The following is a 21,896-nucleotide window of genomic DNA, read 5'->3' on the forward strand; positions in this document are numbered from 1 at the left end:
CGCAACTATGAATAGAGTGAAAGAATCACTTAGAAGGTTTATAGCAATAAGTGCCTACATCAAAAACAGTTTTAAAAAAATCTCCAAATAAACTATTGATGTATCATATACAACTAGAAAAGAGCAAACCAAACCCAAAATTAGAAGAAAATAAAAATTATCACAGAAATAAATGAATATAAAACAAAATATGAAAAGATAAACATAATGAAAAGTTAGTTTTTTTGAAAAGATAAACAAAATTTACAAAATGTTCTGAATCTTACAGCTGGAGGCAATTGAAAGTTGGATGTGTGATTCTCATACATGGATCCAGATCACGGGTAAGACGGTGATTTTTGAATCAAGATCAAACACCCTTGTGAGGCTGTGTGTCCCCTATTAGGACACTGCTTGCAAATGAGGTTGGGGCTGTCATGCACAGATCCTGTCCATTGTTGAGACTGTGACTTAGGTACTTGGACAGAACTCACAAGAGGTGCCCAGCACCGGATTGATTTTACTTTTCTGCCTTGGTCCAGTCTAAATGTGGGATTGTGACATATACCTAGGCCAAGCACATAGGTGATGGGACTCTCCTGCCCAGGCCAATCTCTCAGAGGTGGTTTTGAAATATTTTATTCACCAATCACCTAGATAATATGACTCTCTTCTCCTGCCTGGGATCAGCCCATAACGGGCACTGTGACATATTACTGGGTCTATCACCTAGGTGACATGACTCTCCCCTTCTGCCTGGGCCAAACCCCTGTTTGGAATTTTGACATATCCCCAGGCCTATCACCTAGGTGATATGAATCTCCTCTTTTGCCTTGGACCTGCTTGCATGGGGAATTGTGACAGATTACTGGGCCCATCACCTAGTAGATGTTACTGTCTATTTTTTACCTGGATCCTGCCTACAGAAAGGATTGTGACAAATCAGTGGGCCAAGCATCCCGGTGACGTGGCTCTTCTGTCTTAGCAATTCCTATAGTTGGAATAGTGACATAAACCTGGGTCAAGCATCTGGGTAATGTAACTCTTCTTTCTGGACACTTTTCTCAGAGAACATTGTGATATATCTTTGTGCCCATCACCTAGGTCATGTGACTCTCCTTTTTTTCCTGGGCTCTGTCCACAGGGTAATTTGTGACATACTGCTGGACCCAGCACCCAGGTCATTTGACTCTCCTGCCTTGGCCCTTCCCACAGAGGGCATTGTGACATTGAGTGGGCTCAGCAGCTAGGTGATACGACTTTCCTGCCAGGACTCTTCCAACAGAAGGGACATTGACCTACTCAGGCTCAGTATTCAGGTGATGTGGCTTTCCTTCCTAGTCCCTGCTTGCAGGTGGTATTGTGACATATAATTGGGTCCAGTTCATAGGCATGCTGATGACTATCATACATGGACACAACCAATAGAAGAGATTTTGACTCTTTTAGCTGGATTTATGACAATGTATAATGTCTTCAGCCTCCTGCTTCCGGTAAGATGGCAAAGTATGAGCAAGCTTATGCATATTCTATAATGCCCTTTGGTGGTACAGAGCATGTCATTCCGGAGCCCAGCACATAGCCAACAGTTAAAATTGTCAATCTCACACATAGAGCCCACAGTTAAGGTCCTGAATGTCACTAGTAGACACAGTTTACAGTTGGAATTTTGACTGTCATATGTGGATCTGGCCACAGGTAAAATGGTGACTTATTGCTGGACCTAGCTCACAGGCATGGTAATGACTCTTATATCTAAACCAGTCAATAGAAGAGATGGTGAATCTCATCCCTAGACTTGGAGAAATGAGTAAGATCATGGGTTCATATAGGCACAAATGTTTTGGAGTGCATTGCAAGTCTTACACATATTATCTACCGCCGCAGATGGTGCAAAGAGTAATAATATAACAAGGCCCAGTACACTGTTGAGATTTTGACTCTCATATGCATACACTGCCAACAGTAAAGATTGTCACACTCCCACATAGACACAGCCCACTGTTGAGGTTCTGATTCTCACACCCAAAAGCAGTCAGAAGTTGGTATTGTTACTCTAATATGTGGATCCAGCCTGAGTCTCTGACCAAGATTCAGCACCAATATTAGGCTTTAACTCTCCTAATAGGTGCTGTCTGAGGTTTGGCTCTCATGCATGGGTTCAATTTGCTGTTGAAATTGTGACTTGCAGCTCGGTGTGGTGGCTCACGCCTGTAATCCCAGTACTTGGGGAGGCCAAGGCAGGTGGATCACCTGAGGTCAGGAGTTTGAGGCCAGCCTGGCCAACATGGTGAAACCTGGTCTCTACTAAAAATACAAAAATTATCTGGGTGTGGTGGCACGCACTTGTAATCCCAGCTGCTTGGGAGCCTGAGGAAGGAGAATCACATGAACCCTGGAGGCAGAGGTTGCAGTGGGCTAAGATCACACCACTGCACTCCAGCCTGGGTGACAAGAGTGCAACTCTGTCAAACTAAAGAAAGAAAGAGAGAGAGAGAAAGAAAGAGAGAGAAAGAGAAAGGAATAAAAAGAAAGAAAGAAAGAAAAAGAAAGAAAGAAAGAAAGAAAGAAAGAAAGAAAGAAAGAAAGAAAGAAAGAAAGAAAAAGAAAGAAAGAAAGGGAAAGAAAGGGAAGAAAGAAAATGGTGATTTGCATTCTTGGACACATGGTTAAATTTCAAGAGGTGTGTACTTTTATACCTGGACCCAGAACATGTGCAGAAATGTAAATTCCATTCCTCAACCTTCCCACAGGTGTGATTGTGACATATAACTTTGCCCAGCCAGAATTTGACTGATTTGACTATACTGCCTGAATAAAGCCCACAGTGTGGGTTGTGACATATGCCTAAGCCAAAAGCCTCAGTAAGGTGACCCTCCTGCCTAGTCCCTTCTCACAGGTGGCATTGTGATATACCTCTGGTCTCATTCCCAGATGATGTGATTGTCATCTCCTGCCTGGGCCCGGTTCATAAAGGGGATTGTGACATATTGCTGAGCCAGGAATCATGTGATGTAATCTTTCAGCCAGGGTTCTGCCCACAGGAGGCATTGTGACAAATCACTCGTCCCAGCACCATAGTGATGTGAATTTCCTACCAGCACTCAACTCACAGAGGGGATACTAATACACCCCTGGCTGAGTATTCAGGTGATGTGACTCTCCTGCCTGGTTCTGCCCACAGGTGGGATTCTGGCATATACCTAGGTTCGGATTACAGGAATAATAATGACTGTCATGTGAGAGCCCAGCCAATAGACGAGATTCTGACTCTCATAGCTGAGCTTAGAACAATCAGTAAGCTTCTAGGTCTCCTAATTGTATCACAGTTACAGAGGATTTTGACATTCATAAATATTCTATAAAATACTTGCATCATATCAGAGCTCATTACAGAGGTAAAATTGTGCCTCTCATATGAGGCACACTATCCAAAAATTAGGATTGTCACTCTCACACCTGGACAAAGCCCACTGGTGAGGGTTCAACAGTCCACAGTTGAATTTGGGACTGTCATATGTGGATCTGGCCACAGGTCAGGTGACTTGTTTCTGGACCCAGCTCATAGGCATGTCAATGACTCTCATACCTGGTTCCAGTTAATAGAAGAGATCTTGACTCTTGTATCTAGGCTTAGGGCAAAAGATAAGGTCCTGGATTTCCTACTTTTACAGAGGTCTCAGAGAATAGCAACACTCATGCATATTGTATAATGCCCTCAGGTGGTACAAAAAGTGTCAAAACAGGGCCCATGTCAAAATTGAGATTGTGACTCATGTGTACACAGGCCACAGTTTGGATTGTAACTATTAAATCAGAACAGAGTATACTCATGAGGTCCTGGATGTCACTCACAGAAACAGTTCACAGTTGGAATTGTGACTGTCATATATGGATCCATCCACAAATGGGATGGTGACTAATTTCTGGACCCAGCTTACATACTGATGACTCTTATACCTGGACCCAACAAATAAGAGAAATGATAACTCTCATACCTGAACTTGGGGCAATATGTAGGATCATGAGTTCATACCAGCATGAAGGTCTCAGAGCAGGTTTTCATTCTCATGCATACTGTATGAAGCTCTTGAGTGGCACAGAAGGTGTCCTACAAAGACCCAGCACACAGATGACACTGTGATTCTTCTGTGCACACATAACATACAGTGAGGAATGTCATTATACTATATGGACACAGCCCATTGTTGAAGTTCTGAGTATCACTCCCAGATCAGTTGAAAGTTGAATTTCATACATGGATCCAGTTCACAGGTAGAATGGTGACTTTTATACTCAGCACACCTGTGAGGCTGAGACTGCCCTAATTAGACAGTGTTTGCAGGTGAGTTTGGAGCTGTTATGCATGAATTCTGTCCACAATTGAGATTGTAATTTGTGTACTTAAACACAATTCACAAAAGGAGTTTTCTCTTATAACTTGAGCCAGGAAATGTGTGGGACTGTGACTCTCATCCCTGGACCTTCTGCAGGTGTGACTCTGACATAATTTTTTCTCAGCACCTGATTGACTTTACTCTCTTGCCTGAGCTCAGCTAACAGTTGGGATTGTGACATATACCTGGCCCAAACACCTAGGTGATATGACTGTCCTGCCTGGGCCCTGCCCACAAGGAGCATTGTAATGTTATCTCTGAGACCCTCACCTAGGTGATGAGACTCTACTTTCCTGACTATCCCTTTCTCCAGTAAAATTTGTGACATATAATCTGGGCATGTTATCTAGGTGATATGACTCTCCTCTCATGACTGGGCCCTGTTAACAGGGTGGATTGTGACATATTACTGGGCCCAGCACCTAGATGATGTGACTCCCCTTTCCTGCATGGGCCCTACGTACACAAGGGATTGTGACATATTGCTGGGCCAAGCACCAAGGTGATCTGGCTCTTGACTAGGTTCTTCCTAAAGTGGGCTTTGTGACATATTACTAAACCTAGCATAAAGGTGATATGGCTTTCCTGCGTGGGTCCTGCCCATGGAGGGATATTGATATTTCCCCAGCCCAGCATTCAGGTGATGTGACTTTCCTCCCTGGTTCTGCCCACATGTGGGATTATGACCTATACCTAGGCCCAGGCAACAGTCATTTGATGGCTTTCTTACATGGACCTAGCCAATAGGAGAAATTTGGACTTTAATAGCTATGCTTAGGGCAACAACTAAAAACCTTGGTCTACTAATTATAAAAAGGTCACAAAAGATTATGACACACACATGTATTTTATAAAGCCCTTGGGCTTTATAAATAAAACAGGGCCGAGCACACAGGTGAGATCGTGGCTCTCAGTAGCCAACAAGTGGAACCGTCACCTTCACAAATGGACAGAACCCATTGATGAGATTCTGAATCTCACACATGGATGCAGTCCAGAGTTGGAATTCTGACTGTCATATGTGGATCTGGCCTCAGGCTGGATGGTGACTAATTTCTAGATCCAGCTTACAAGCATGGTGGTGAATCTCATGCTCAGACCAAGTCAATAGGACAGATACTGACTCATAGATAGACATAGGTCCATGGGTAAGGTCGTCTGTTTCCTACCTCTACAGAGGTCACAGGGGCCTATGAAACTCTAACATATGGTAGAATTCCCTCAGGTGGTACAGAGTATGTCAAAACAGGGCCCAGCACACAGTTGAGATTGTGACTCTCATATAGACATCTAGTCAAAAGTTAAGATTGTCAGCCTCACACACAGACAGTGCCCACTGCTGAGGTCCTAAATCTCTCATGGATGCAGCTCACGGTTGATATTGTGACTGTCGTATGTGGATCTGGCCACAGATGGGATGGTGACTCATTTCTGGACCCCACTCACAGGCACAGTGATAAATCTCATTCCTGGACACAGAAAATAGGAGAGATGTTGACTCTGGGCTTAAAGTAATAGGTAAGATTGTGTGTCCACACAAGCATGCAAATCTCACAGATTATTGTGACTCTGGTGCATACCTTATAATGCCATCAGGTACTACAGAGAGCATTATAAAAGGGCCCAAAACCGGTGAAATTGTTACTCTCATATGCACAACCAGCCAACAGTATGGTTACTTTCCAAATGAACACAGTGCACTGTAAAGGTTCTGAATCTCACACCTAGAGGCAGTCAAAAGTTGGCATTTTTACTTTTATATATGGATTCTAAACACAGGTAACATGGTGATTTTTGCACCAAGAATCAGCACCACTGTGATATTTTGACTTTTTGACTGGGACACTCTCTGCGGGTGGAGTTGGGGCTCTCATGCATGGATCCAGTCCACTGTTGAGGTTGTTACTTGCCTTTTGGGTGAAACTCACAGGAGGTATTGACTCTGACCCTGAAGCGGGGGTGTGTGAGAGATTGTAAATTTTATCTCTGAACTTTTTCACAGGTGTGATTGTGACATATATCATCGCTTAGTATCTGACTGATTTTTCCCTTTTTCCTAGGCCCCACCCACAGTTTAGATTGTGAAATATAACTAGGTTAAGTATCTAGATAATGTGACTTTCCTGCTGGGCTCTGCCCTCCTGGGTATTGTGACACATTACTGGGCCGATCACCTAGGCGATGTGTCTCTCCCTTTCTGCCTGGGCCAGTCCACAGGGGATACTGTGAGATATCTTTAGGCCCATCACCTATGTTATGTGATTCTTTTTTGCCTTGAATTTGTTTACAGGAGAAATGGTTACATATCACTGGGCCCATCACCTAGATGATGTGGCTGTCTTCTACCTGGAACATGTTTACAGGGTGGATTGTGACATATTGCTTTTCCTAGCACCCAGGAGATGTGACTTTTACTGCCAGGACCCTGCCCATAGTAAAAATATTGACATATCGCTGGCCCAGCACCTAGTTGATACGACTCTCCCCGCTAGTCTTTGCCCACAGGTGGGATGGTCACACATTAGGCCCTGCTCACAGGTATAATGAAGACTCGCATATGTGAACCCAGCCAATAGAAGAGATTTTAACTCTTCTAGCTAGGCTTAGACAAACAGGTAAGGGTTATGGGCCTTCTACATGTAGAAAGATCACACAATATATTACTTATGCATATTCTATAAAGTCTTTGCATGATATAAAGAGTGCCATATCAGGGTCCAGTAAAGAAGTAAAATTGTGAATCTTATAGGCACACCCAGCTGACAATTAAAATTGTCTCCCTCACACACTGACAAAACTTACTGGTGAGGTCCTGACTCTCATATAAGGACACAATACACAGTTAGAATATTGACCATCCCATGTGGATCTGGCCAAAGGTCAGGTGGTAAGTCATAGCTGGACCCAGCTTACAGGCACAGCGATGACTCTTATACCTGAACTCTGCTAATAGGAGAGGTGTTGACTCGCATAGCTGGGTTTAGGCCAAAAAATAAAATTCTGGCTTTTCTACTTAAAAAAAAAAAATCACAGGTGATTACAACACACATGCATATTGTGTAATGCCCTCAGATGGGACAGAGAGTGTCAGAACCCAGCACAACACTGAGGCTGTGACTATTGTATGCACACTCAGCTGACTGTTAAAATTGTCACCTTTACATAGGGAGAGAGCAAAATGGTGAGTTCCTGAATCTCACTGACAGATACAGTCCACAGTTGGGATCATGCCTGTCACATGTGGATTGAGCCACAGGAGGGATGTTGACCAATTTCTGGAACCAGATTATAGGAACAAAAATGACTCTCTTACCTGGACCCAAAAACAGGATAGATGTTGACTCTCATGCCTGGGCTTAGGGCAATGGGCGTGATCCTACTTTTGAGATTGTAACAAACACCTGGGCAAGCACAAAGGTCTCAAAGCAGATTGTGAGTCTCACATGTGCCATATAAAACCCTCAGGTGGTACAGAGAGTGTCATAACAGGGACCAGCAAACAGGTGAGACTGTGACTGTCATATGCACACCTGGCTGACAATAAGGATTCTCACCCTCCCACCTGAACACAGCCTCCTTACAACGTCTTGAATCTCACACTCAGAGGCAGTCAAAAGTTGGAATTGTGACTCTCATACGTGAATGCAGTCCACAGGTAGGGCGGTGACTCTCACACCAAGATCCAGCACTCCTGTGAGACTGTGACTTTCCTACTGGGACACTGTCTGCAAGTGGGGTTTGGGCTCTCATGCACAGAGCCAGTGCACTGTTGAGGTTGTGACTTGAATACTTGAACACATCTCACAAGATATGTTGACTGTCATAAGTGAAGCCAGCACATTTGTGGGGTTTTAAATCTTATCTTTAAACCTTTCTGCAGGTGTGATTGTGACATATACTTTTTCCCAGCATCTGATTAATTTTATTCAATTGCCTGGGCCCAGTGTACAGTTGAGATTGTAACATATACCTGGGCTATGCACTTAATTTATGTTTTTCTTCTACATGAGCCCTGTCCTCAGGAGAAATTAAATTATACTGTGGGCCAATTGTCAAAGTGAAGTGAGTCTCTTTTTCTGCCTGGGTCTTGCCCTTAGTTGGGATTGTGACATATCACCAGACCTTTAACCCAAATGATATAACTCTTTTTCCTGGGTTCTAATTACAGAAGGCATTGTGAAATATCTCTAGACCCATCACCTAGGTGATGTGACTCTTCTTTCCTTCCTGAACCCTGCCCCCAAAAGGCATTGTGACATATCACTGGGCCCAGCTTCCAGATGATATAACTGTCCTGCTTTGGCCCTGCCCATGGGGGGCATTGTGACATATCGCTGGGCCCACCACCTAGGTGATATGACCCTCCTGAATTGCCCCTGCACTAAGGGGAGATTTTGACCCTGCCCAAAGTGGCAATTGTGACATATCTCTGGCCAGCACCCAGGTGATGCAACCCTTGTGCCTGGTCTGTCTCCACAGTTGGAATTGGGAAAAACACATGGGCACAGCTTACAGGTGGAATGATGACTCATACCTGAAGATATGACTCTTGTAGTTAGTCTTAGAGCAAAAACTAAGGTTCTGGGTCTTCAACTTGTAGGATGGCCAGAGACTATTATGAGTTGCATGCACATTGTATGAAGCTCTCAAGTGCTACAGAGTGCCAAAATAGAGCCCAGCACACAGGGAAAATCGTGGCTGTTGTATGCAAACTCAGATCAAAGTGAGGATTATCAGCCTTCCACATTAACAGAACCCACTGTTGAGGTTCCGAATCACACACCAAGAGGCAATGGAGTTGGAATTGTGAATCTCATGCATCAATCCAATCGACAGATGAGGTGATGACACCAAGTCCTGGATTTAGAACACCGGGGGGCTGTGCTTCCCCTATCAAAACAGTCTGTTGGTGAGATTTGGGCTCTTGTGCATTGATTTAGTCCACTGTTGTGACTGACTTGAATACTTGAACTCAACCCACAGGAAGTGTCGACTTTTATACCTCTAGCTATGTCCTGGAAAATGTCCCTGATTGTGAATTTCTGCTACTGACTGGGTCCAGGTCTGAGTTCCATTGCTGTTCCTGTGATCTGGGTTCAAAAATGAGTCACTTTCTCACCTGTGACTGCACCTACATATGACAGTCACAGTTCCAAGTCTGGATTGCATTTGCATGTGAGATTTAGGCCTCACCAGTGAGCACTGTCTATATGTGAGGGTGACAATTCTATTCAGCTGGATGTGCATATAAGAGTCACAATCTCACCTTTGTTCTGGGTCCTGTTATGACACTGTATTATTTGAGGACTTTACACAGTATGCCTTGGTATCATAATACACTATGACCTTTATTTAAGTAGGAGACCAAGGACCTTGCCTGTTGCTCTAAGCCTAGATATCAGAGTCAAAATCTGTTCTCTTAGCTGGATCCAGGTATGTGAGTTATCACCTCACCTGTGAGCTGTGACCATGTATATGTCACAATTTCACCTGTGGGCAGGAACCAGACATGAGAGTCCTATCACCTGGGTGCTGGGTAAGTGATGTCACAATTCTTACTTGGGCAGGGTCCAGGCAACAGAGGAGAGACACATCACCTATATGACTGGCCCAGTGATGGGTGAAAATCCTCTCTGAGAGCAGGGCCCATTCAGGAGAGTCATATCACCTAGCTGCTTGGCCAAGCAATATATCACAATGACCCCTTTGCACAGGACCAAGACAAGACAGCTCCATGACCAGGGAGCTGGGTCCAGCTATGTGTCACAATTCCTTTTGTGGAAAGTGCCCAGTTAGAAGAGCAGAGTCACAGCACCTAGGTGATGGACCCAGAGAGATGCCACAACGCCATTTGTGGGCTGGGCCCTGGGAGAAGAATAACATCACCCGGTGCTGGGCCCAGCAATATGTTGCAATCCCAACTGGAAAAAGGTACCAGGCAACAGAGGAGAATCACATCATCATGTTGATAAGCCAAGAGATATTTCACAATCTCCCCTGTGCACATGTCCCAGGCAGAAGACTCGAATTACCTTTTTACTTAGGCCAGTAATGTCACAGTGCTTCTTCAGGGCAGGGCACAAACATGATAGGACAGTCATGCCATTAAGTGCTAGGCTTGGTGATATGTCATAACCTTACCTGTGGGCAGAGTCCAGGCAAGAGAGAAGGTTTACATCACTTAGGTGCTCAGTAAAGCATATATTACCATTCCTTTGAGGGAAGTAGCCAGGCAATATAATCACATCACCTAGGTGCTTGGCCCAGGTAAAAGTCACAAGATAACTGTGTGTTGAGCCCAGAAGGACAATGAAATTACTAAGGTTCTAGGTAGAAGTGCATGTCACAGTTCAACCTGCAGGGAGGCCCAGGAATGAGACTCCCAATTCCACACATTTCCCCACTCCAGGTGTAAGAGTCAACAACTCCTGAGACTTAGGTTCAAGTGCATGAGTCACAATCTCAACAGTGGATTGCATCCTGCCATGAGAGCCCCAATCCCTTCTCCAAGCTGTGTTCCAGTAGAGGAGTCGCAACATCAATGGTGTGCTGAATCCTGGTTGGAGAGTTCCCACTTCACCTGTGGACTGGATCTGTATATAAGAGGAGAGATGTCGACTCTCATGCCTGGGCTTAGGGCAATGGGCATGATCCTACATTTGGGATTGTAGCAACAACTCTTGACTGCCCTTGGGTGTGAGATTCAGAACCTCAATTGTGACCTGTGTACACTTGGGCATGTGACAATTTCTACTTTTGGCTGTGTGTTCATACAAGACTCTCAATCTCACCTGTGTTCTGGGCCCTGTTATTAGACTCTCTGTACCACCCACGGGGTTTATTCAATATGCATGGGTGTCATAATTCTCTGTGATTTTCATACAAGTAGAAGACACAGGACCTTACTCATGGCCCTAGTCCTATCTATGAGAGTCAAAATCTCTCTCTTTTGCTGGGCCTATGTGTAAGAGTTATCATAATGCCTATAAGCTGGGTCAAAGTATATGTCACCATCTTAACTGTGGGGGTGCACGGGCAGGTGCAATGAGAGTTGAGATGGGAAGAGGGTTATGATGTCCTCTGTCAGGATGTAATTATTGTTTTGGGGCTGTTTTTAGATATTGTCAAATAAAATAAATTTAGATGTAGGTAAGAAGCAACTTTATTCTAAAGTAATGTTGTGGCCGGGCACAGTGGTTCACGCCTGTAATCCCAGCATTTTGAGGGGCGAAGGAGGGTGGATCACTTGAGGTCAAGAGTTCAAGACTAGGCTGGCCAACATGATGAAACCCTGTCTCTATTAAGAATACAAAAAATTAGCTGGATGTGGTGGCGGGCGCCTGTAAATCAGAGCTACCCTGCCTGGACCAGTATCTGTAGCACTAACCAGTCTTTTCACCAACTGGGTACTGTTTTCTACCCATAGGTTTTTTTTCTTTATTTTTTTTTCTTTTCTTTTCTTTTTTCTTTTCTTTTCTTTTCTTTTTTTTTTTTTTTTGAGACCTAGTTTCACTCTTGTTGCCCAGGCTGGAGTGCTGGAGTGTAGTGGTGGGATCTCGGCTCACTGCAACCTCCGCCTCCCAGGTTCAAGAGATTCTCTTGCCTCAGCCTCCCAAGTAGCTGGGATTACAGGTGCCTGCCACCATGCCTGGCTAATTTTTGTATTTTTAGTAGAAACTGGGTTTCACCATGTTGGTCAGCTGGTTTGGAACTCTTGAACTCAGGTGATCCACCAGCCTCGGTCTCCACAAAGTGCTGGGGTTACAGGCATGAGCCACCGTGCCCAGCCCCCATAGGCTTTTTATAACACATTCTCTTATTCTGCCTTTTTATTTTCCACAAACACTCTTTCACAAACCCAAGTCCACACCTGTGTGCCTTAATACAAACCCTACTGGAAATCAAATGTCCATGAGTTCAGGATAAATTTTTTTGACCTGCTTATTGTAAGCATAAATACAAAATAAAAATAAGACAATCATTCAACTTCAAAACAATAAAAGGAATTAACTCCTCTTTTTTTTTAAAAAAGTTTTATTTAGATACCTTTTATATGTAAATTCTTTCTCTGCTTTTAATATTTTTTGTTGTCCTTTCAGTATGTATGAAGTCTATTTCTTTTGTAATTTTTATTATTTTTTCTTTTTTCTTTTTTTCTTTCTTTCATTTTTTTGTATTGTTTTGTTTCGTTTTGTTTTGGACAGAGTTTCGCTCTTGTTGCCCAGGCTGGAGTGCAGTGGTGCCATCTCGGCTCACGGCCACCTCCGCCTTCTGGGTTCAAGCCATACTTCTGCCTCAGCCTACAGAGTAGCTGGAATTACAGGCGCCCGCCACCACATCTGGCTAATTTTTGTATTTTTGGTAGAGATGAGGTTTCGCCATGTTGGCCAGCCTGTTCTAGACCTCAGATGATCCACCCACATCAGCCTCCCAAAGTGCTGAGATTACAGGCGTGAGCCACCACGCCCGACCTATCATTTACTTCATTCTGCTAACTTTGCAATTATTTAGTTGTCCTTTTTCAAGTATTTTGTGGATTAAAGTTATGTTTTTTATTTGACATCTTTTCCTTTTTCTTAACATACAAAAACAGCACTATAAACTTGTGATTTAGAACTGTTTTGTGGTTTGTTTGTTTTTTTTTTGTATCCCAGGAGTTATTGTATGTTGTGTTTCTATTTTCTTTTTTCTCAATACACTTTCTGATTTCCCTTTGCTTTTTCTCTTTGACCCATTGGTTGTCCAAGAACATGTTGTTTACTGTCCCCATATTTGTGAGTTTTAAAATTTTTATTTGACTATTATTTTCTAGTTTTATTAAACTGTAATTTTAAAAGTTGATACAGCCAGGTGCAGTGCTCATGCCTGTAATCCCAGCAGTTTGGGAGTCCGAGGAGGGTAGATTACCTGAGGTTAGGAGTTTGAGACCAGCCTGACCAACATGGTGAAACCCTGTGTTTACTAAAAATACGAAATTAACTGGGCATGATGGTGCACGCCTGTAATCTCAGCTACTTGGGAGGCTGAGTCAGGAGAATTGCTTGAACCCAGGAGGCGGAGGTTGCAGTGACCTGAGATCATGCCATTGCACTTCAGCCTGGGTGACAGAGTGCAACTCTGTCTCAAAAGCAAAAACAAAAAAAGTTGATATAATTTTAATCTCTAAATTTGAAAAGAGTTTGTTGTTTTTGTTGGTCCAACATATGATCTATCTTGGATAATGTTCCATTTGTGCTTGATAAGAATGTGTATTCTCATACTGTTACATGAAATAGTCTACATAAGCCCGGGGGGTACAGTTGTTCTTCAGCACTATCCAAGCACATTGTTTTCTTTCTAGCTTTCTGTCTGAATAATCTATTGTTTTCAGTAGAATAAGAAAGTCCTCTGTTATTGTCATATTTGTCTTTTTTAAAGTTCTGTTTATATATGTTTATATATTTATGTGCTCCAATGTTGGGTTCATATATTTTTTAATTGTTAGATTCTTTTGACAAATTATCCTCTTATTATTAGAGAGTGATCTTCTTTGTCTGTTGGGACAGATTTTTTTTCTAAAAGTCTATTTTGTCTGATATAAATATAGCCACTCTTACACTCTTTCAATTATTATTGGTATGGGTTTTTAAAATTCTTTAACCATTAACATATGTATGCCCTTAAATCTAAAATATGTCACTTGTGTGAAGCATACTGTTAATTTAAAAAATCTAATTAGACATTCTGCGAATCTTTTATTTTATTTTCTGCTTTAATAACAGAATATCCTAGAATTGTTTTTTTTTTAAATTCGTTTATTTATTTATTTGAACAGAGTTTTACTCCTGTTGCCCAGCCTGGAGTGCAATGGCACAATCTCGGCTCACTGCAACCTCTGCCTCCTGGGTTTAAGTGATTCCCCTGCCTCAGCCTCCCAAGTAGCTGGGATTACAGGCACCTATCACCACACCCAGCTAATTTTTGTATTTTTAGTAGAGATGGAGTTTCACCACGTTGGCCAGGCTGGTCTTAAACTCCTAACATCAGGTGATCCACCCGCCTCGGCCTCCCAAAGTGCTGGGATTACAGGTGTGAGCCACCGCGCCCGGCCTTAGAGTTGGTATTTTCTAAAAAATAGGAGTTTACTTAGCTCACAATTTTAGATTATGGATGTCCAAGAGCATCCCATTGACATCTGATGAGAATCGTATTTCCACATCACAAAATGGCCAAAGGCATGAGGATGACTGAAGGTGCACACCAGAGAGCGTACTTTTATAATAGACCCACTTTCCTGCCGACTAACCCACTCTGGAAATAATGACATTAATTCATTCACGAGAGTAGGTCCCTCAGGACCTATTATCTTCTTAAACGTCTAACTTTATAATTTTATAACAATAGCAGTTAAATTCCCACATGAAATTTGAAGGGGAGATTCAAACCATAGCAATGTGTTTTTATTAGATAATTTATTTGATACTTAAACAATTATTGATAGGTAAGTACTTTCTACTGCCATTTTGTTAATTTTTGTCTGACAATTTAGTATTACGCTTTAGTATTTTTGCCATTACTTTTAATGGCAAAAACTGCAATTACTTTTGCACCAACTTAATAATATCTTTTTCTTTTCATGCTGTCTTCACTTGTGTTTGGTTGAATTTTTTTTGTTTTCGTTGCTGTTATATGCTTTGATTCCTTTTCCTTCCTTCCTTCCTTCCTTCCTTCCTTCCTTCCTTCCTTCCTTCCTTTCTTTTTTTGTTTGAGACAAAGTTTTGCTCTTGTTGCCCAGGCTGGAGTGCAATGGCACGATCTCAGATCACCACAACCTCTGCTTCCCAGGTTCAAGCGATTCTCCTGCCTCAACCTTCTGAGTAGCTGGGATTACAGGCATGCGCCAACCACTCCTGGCTAATTTTGTATTTTTAGTACAGATGGGTTTCTCCCTGTTGGCCAGGCTGGTCTATAACTCCTGATCTCAGGTGATCTGCCCGCCTCGGCCTCCCAAAGGGCTGGGATTACAGGCATGAGCCACTGCGCCCAGCCCCATAAGTCAGACACTTCTGTTGCCTATAAAAGTTACTTATGTGATATTTACCTGTGTAAGTATTGCCCCATTTTGTTTATTAATTATCTATTTCTTTTCTCGGGTGGTTGTCAGTGTTTTATTGTATAGATGAGTAGTCAAAAAGTCAGCCTAAAATTACCGTCTATTTATTGTCTGAATATATGTTATTGTGTGAGAAAAACACTTGTTATTTAAAGCAATTTTTAAAAATGTAACTTTTTTGAGAGATGTAAATATTTGTGATTAAAAAGATAAAATTACCATCTTAAACATTTTAAAGCTGTATACTTAAACTATATGTTGAGTGCTTTTAAGTATACTTCTATTATTTTGAAACAAATTTCTAGATCAATTTTATCTTTAAAAGGTACAATTTGGCTGGGCGCGGTGGCTCACACCTGTAATCCCAGCACTTTGGGAGGCCAAGGCAGGTGGATCGCCTGAGGTCAGGAGTTCAAGACCAGCCTGGCCAACATAGTGAAACCCTCACTCTACTAAAAATACAACAAATTAGCTGGGCATGGTGGCAGGCGCCTGTAATCCCAGCTACTTGGGAGGCTGAGGCACGAGAATTGCTTGAACCTGGGAGGCTGAGGTTGCAGTGAGCCAAGATCGCACCACTGGACTCCAGCCTGGGCAACAAGAGCGTTACTCCGTCTCAAAAAAAAAAAAAAAGTGCAATTTAATATCCAATAAACTGTCTTCTCCTTCTCTCTTTTCTGCTTCTGAAGAACATCATTTTACTTTCTGTTTTGTCTGTCTCTTTTTGGCTATCTTATTTTAGGCAACATATTTTTTCCTGCGTCTTTAATTTTAACAAATAAGTTATTCTCCTCTCAGTTCAGATTCATCAGGAAATTGAATCATATCCGGAAGAATTAAAACTGAAAGACCAATACATTTGTTAAAGCAATGCAGATTGTCATACTAATAAGCTCTAAAATTTCAAAGGCTTAGCAAAATAATGCATTTTCTGCTTAAATCACCATCCCCTTTGGTTTATTTCTGGTTAAGAAAACTTCTTTGTGATTATTCAGAGATTAGATTTTTAAAAAAAATTTCTATCTGCATTCTCTGTTTCTTCAGCCAATAGATGAAAAAAGATTCAAGGAAGACACATTTGCTTTTTATTCACTCATCACTTCCCATCACTATGCTGACCAGAGTCAATGTGAGCAGAGTTGAGAATAGCAGTTTTCTGGCAGGAGAGCCACTTCTCAGCAAAAAATGACACACTCAAAGTATAAATCTTTCATGGAAGGCTCACATATTTTCAGCAAATTAAGCATATGCATGAATAAAATTCTTGTGGTGAAATAAAGATTCATTTTATTGATTCCTATTGAGCTCAGGTAATATTGGATGAAAAGCAAAAAAATTATTTGAAATAGAAATATTGTGAATAAAGTTATTGTCAATTAAAGTAAAAATATTATCTCACACTTGTCATCTTATCTATAGTTGTACAATATCAAATGCTACTTTTTATTAACAATTGTACTTCATATAAGTATTCCATTTATTTCACCCTTCTTAACTGTTTCAATGCCTTCTGCACTTCATATCAGTGAAAAGCAGGCCGGCTGGTGCCAGGAAATGGATGTGGTGCTATTGCTACTTTAAGAGTAATGATGAAGAGCACTTGTCTGAATTGTTCCCAAGTGGCCAACACTGTTATTTGGCCCAAAGTACACACATTTCTTATTTTCCTCTAAATTTACTGCTGAAATAAAATTCTTAGCTAAGAAAGGCTTGATCTCATTCAAATATGTTTTATGAAATTTGGTTGACATTTCAGTGTGTCTGACTTAAATGGAATATTGAAAATTTTCATGAATCCAAATAGAGTGTTACACATGAACAATCTTTTACTAAAAGCCTTTCTGAGGCAGAGCAAGATTCATAAAATTTCTTTATAATATAGAAGAAATGTGTTAACTCTGTTCCCAGTAGTCAACTCTGAACACTGAGCCTCTCAGTTCCCAGTATTCACCTTGAGGTATTCAGGAAAATTTGGTATCTCTGTAAGGAGACAGAAAAAGATGTTTGGGGGAGGGTCAAAACATTGTGCATAAATGCTTTCTACATGCACCAGTTAGGATCTTAATCTAATTGGTCTATCATTTGCATGGCTAGATAGTTACTGAATGTAGTCATACTATTTTGGTTTTTGCAGCTAATGACATCTGTTACCTATAAGTTTCATACAATAACTTGCTCAGCTGAAACATGAATCTTTTGTTAATTTACCCTAAATTTAGGGACTAGATTTGCAATTTCCAACATTTCAAAGTTAAAGCAAATCAGAGAAGAGTAATGTGTGTATGTGGTATGCATTTTCTTGCCCAGCTATCAAAATTCTTCTCATATTGCCTTTGCCACTCTAGGCAGCCACCTAAAATATATTCCATCCTAATTTTTTAGCCAGGATATTAGATTTCAAAAGGTCAAGGACTTAATAATTGGGCAAAGCCAAAATCTTGTCTTTGCTTCTTGACCATATTAAAGAGCATGGCAATTATGCCAAGCCATTGAAAGATGTGATTCTGATGACTTTTATTTTATTTCAAATGTTTTCTCTAATTGTTAGTCTTATTGCATTAATCTAAAAGAGAAACTATCTATATAACAATTTATGCATTCAAGAAATATTCATGTTAAGGTGTTTGAAGTTCAGTATTGTATTACAAAAGAGTAGAATTCTCTAAAATTAGAAAGTCAGATTATTATTAATAAATTCATTATTTTTTCAACATTTTCCAATGTTGAAATTAAAGAATTGGGTATGCTTTTTCGTAAGTTCAGTTCTAGGAGGGTACTCAATGATCTGCATGGTATTTTTGTCATAAATTATGTAAAACTGAATTACCAGAATGGTGCAGAAATGCTAATTTAATCAGAATAAGAATGAATTCAGCCGTGTTGGTAGACTGTTGGTATCCCAGTGGCTGATCATTTACTTCAGTCGTGTAGACATTGCTTCCTAATGCCAGTGAGCCCTTTCAACCAAGTTGCCTTTGTTTCCCATCGATGTGGTCATGTTCTGGTCTCTGTTTTTCTTAAGCTGTCCCAGATGAGGGGTGATTATTTCTTGCATAAATGAGATTCCTTCTTTTTTCTCTGCCATGAGATCCTCCTATTCTCTCTACTGAAAGCAACATGTGGAAGGTAGAAATAGAGACAATATACAAATATATCCCTTGCCATGTGGCCACCATAAACACTTTACGACATGGCTTACCAAGAAGTTTGATTAATTTCAGGGAAGCAGGGATGTTTTTCTATGATGTGCTCTTTCTCTTAAAGGCAACTCTGATTAAGTTTAGTCTAATCAAGATAATCTCTCTTATGATAAACAGGAAGCCAATACATTAGTAACCTAATTACATGAATAATGTCCCACCACAGTCACACATTTTCTCACTCAAGAGAAAACGATTACACAGCAGGTGTGCACTGAAGTGGGAACCTTAGGGTCATCTGAGAATTTTGCCTACCCACCTGAATAGATTTCTAAAATCACCTTTCAGTTGCTTTTGTTGTCTTTCTAAGTAAACTAAGATACCATCTGCAAATAATAATTCATTGAACTGCTTTTTAATTTTATTAAAATAATTATTAGCTTTTCCTGGCTTATATGAAGTGTTTCTCATTTATATTATACATTCACATACATACATATATAACGATAAAAATGTATCCATTTTAAATTTTTGTTAAATTTTTAAGAATGGGTGTTAAAAATAACTTCTTTTCTGTTTGAAAGGGTTTTTACTGTTGTATTCAAGAGTATTATCTCTGGAGTCAAAGTTGCTTGTGTTTTAATACTGGATCTGCTATTGTAAGCAAGTTATTTCTCTCTCTGGCTCTGTTTTCTTCTTTGTAAATTGAGGATAATAATAATATGTTATTAAGTTACTGTGTCTATTAGTCCATTCTCACACTTTTATAGGGATGTACCCAAGACTAGGTAAATTATAAAGGAAAGAGGTTAATTTGACTCACAGTTCAGCATGGCTGGAAAGGCCTCAGGAGACTTACAATCATAATAAAAGGGGAAACAAATATGTCCTTTTTCATATGGTGACAAGAAGAGAAAATGTGCTGAGCAAAAGGGAGAAAAGCCCCTTAGAAAACCATCAGATCTTATGTGAACTCACTAACTATCATGAGAACAGAATGAGAGTAACTGACCACATGATTCAATTACCTCCCACCAGATGTCTCCCATGACACATAGGGATTATGGGAACTACAATTCAAAATGAGATTTGGGTGCAGACACAGCCAGACTACAACAATGTGACAACAAAATTTATTAACACGTGTACAGTGTTATGGTTAGTGCTCAGTACAAATTAGCTATTATTAACTAGATATTTATATGCTGAATTATGTTAATATATGCTTTCACACAAATATTTTTACATTACACATGATTTTTCCAACCATTAGATGAATATATATTTAAATTACAATTTTATTGTAAATGTGGTGTATATATTTAGAATAATAGTAAACAGAATGGAATATTATGTAGCCTTAAAAAGGGGGGAATATTGTCAATTGAAAAAATATGGATACATTTACAGGATACTTTGCTAGGTACAATAAGCCAGACACACAAAGAAAAGTACTGCATGATTTCACTTACATGTAGAATCTAATGAAGTTTTAATAACAAAGTAAAATGTGGAATAATTGGTTACCAGAGGCAGATGTTGACAAAAGAATGCAGTTTTACAGACAGAATAAAGAGGCTTTGAGATCTATTGCACAGTAGGGTGATTATAGTCAATGATAATGTATCTATATTTCAAAATAACTAACAGTAAGTTTTAATGTCTCACTGCAAAAAATGATCGGTAAATGAGGTGATAGATATATTAGTTAACTTGACTTATTTCATATTTTATACATATACAAAATATTACACTGTACCCCATAAATGTACCCAATTTTGATTTGTCAGTCAAATATACTGGTAGTAATACAAGTATTTTTTTTGTAAAACTTAACTTTAAAAAATTGGGCCAGAGAAATAAATGTTTCTTTCTATCTTATAATGTCAGGAAAGATATGTATATATTTCTAATTACACACAGCTTGGTTACCTAGTGATGTTGGTACTTTTGATATCATGAATAGTGTGAACCTATCACTCAATAATAAAATATGTTAATTATCATTGTTCAGAACAATGTAATTCTTTCTTATCTTTTCTTTTCTTTTTTTTTTTTTTGAGACGGAGTTTCGCTTTTGTGGCTCAGGCTGGAGTGCAATGGTGCGATTTCAGCTCACCGCAACCTCCACCTCCTGGGTTCAAGCGATTCTCCTGTCTCAGCCTCCTGAGTAGCTGGGATTACAGGCATGCGCCACCACGCCCGGCTAATTTTGTATTTTTAGTAGAGATGGGGCTTCTCCATGTTGGTCAGCCTGGTCTCAAACTCCCGACCTCAGGTAATCTGCCTGCCTTGGCCTCTCAAAGTGCCGGGATTACAGGCATGAGCCACTGCACCCGGCTTTATTTGATAATAGAATACTTTCCAAGAAAGACTCTAAAGCAACTGTTTAAAGTAAAATTATCTCAAGATAAATGATTTTCTTCACTTATAGAGAAAAGTTATTTAAATATACATTTTAAACTACCTTTAAATTTACCAAGTGAACTTAAAAATTAGTTGGCAAAAAAAATTTATTAACCAAGTAGATCAGAAAACAATTTGCCTGTTTCTCTAATTTAAAACTGACAACACTCAGCATTTAAGTGCTTATTCTCTAGTGTTACTAGAGTGGTAAAAAGCAGTACAAGATGAGGGATCTCTCTTTAGTATTTATATCATGCTGTATGAAAACATATGAGAATTTGCCAAAGATAGTATTAAAAATATCCATCGACTGTTACATTCCCAAACTGACCAATTAAAATGAACATGGATTACAACCCCCTGGTGTGGCCACCTTGTTGTTCCCAGGCTTAACATTGGTCCTGATCTAAAAAACTATACAAATCACCAGAGCTAATAAATTTTCTGTACATTCGTTCTATGCTGGGCCCTCTTCTGACACCTTTATTTGTATTAATTGCTTTAATTTTACCAAAACCCTAGGATTTAGGCAGTATTATCCTTACTGTACAACTGAAGCACAGAGATGTCAAGAAACTGTTTCCAGGTCACACAGCCCATAGTGACAGAACCGGGATGCAATCAGGAACCACCAGATACTGAGCTTTAATATTAACCATTATGGCCAGCCCCCTCTCACTCAATGTTTTTTTTCCATTTTTTTATTTAACATTTTTGCTTTGAATTTTCTAATTTAGTAGAGATTAAGCAGAATTTAAAAACAACTTTTTGACCCTTAGATAGTATGGAGAACTTCATTTTGCATTCAAAGAACTCATAACAAAGCCTAACACAAATGCTTTGGTTGGTAAATGGTTTCTAACAACCTTGTTCCTCTCATTA

The 21,896-nt window shown here is 40.2% G+C and overlaps 2 long non-coding RNA genes across 3 annotated transcripts; both read left to right on the forward strand.

Moving 5' to 3' along the window:
- Positions 1–809: 809 nt before the first annotated feature.
- On the forward strand, positions 810–16,743 carry LOC102723684 (uncharacterized). Its single transcript, XR_428154.4, has 3 exons — positions 810–1,012; positions 1,124–1,298; positions 16,513–16,743. It is a non-coding gene; the product is annotated as an uncharacterized LOC102723684 (long non-coding RNA).
- LOC105375289 (uncharacterized) lies at positions 8,831–11,222 on the forward strand. Of its 2 annotated transcripts, none has more exons than XR_927278.2 (2): positions 8,831–9,912; positions 10,786–11,222. It is a non-coding gene; the product is annotated as an uncharacterized LOC105375289 (long non-coding RNA). The 2 variants fall into 2 exon arrangements; XR_927279.1 differs by lacking the exon at positions 8,831–9,912 and adding an exon at positions 9,920–10,307.
- Positions 16,744–21,896: the final 5,153 nt, after the last annotated feature.

Source organism: Homo sapiens, chromosome 7, assembly GCF_000001405.40.
Source record: "Homo sapiens chromosome 7, GRCh38.p14 Primary Assembly".
Classification (NCBI taxonomy): Eukaryota; Metazoa; Chordata; class Mammalia; order Primates; family Hominidae; genus Homo; species Homo sapiens.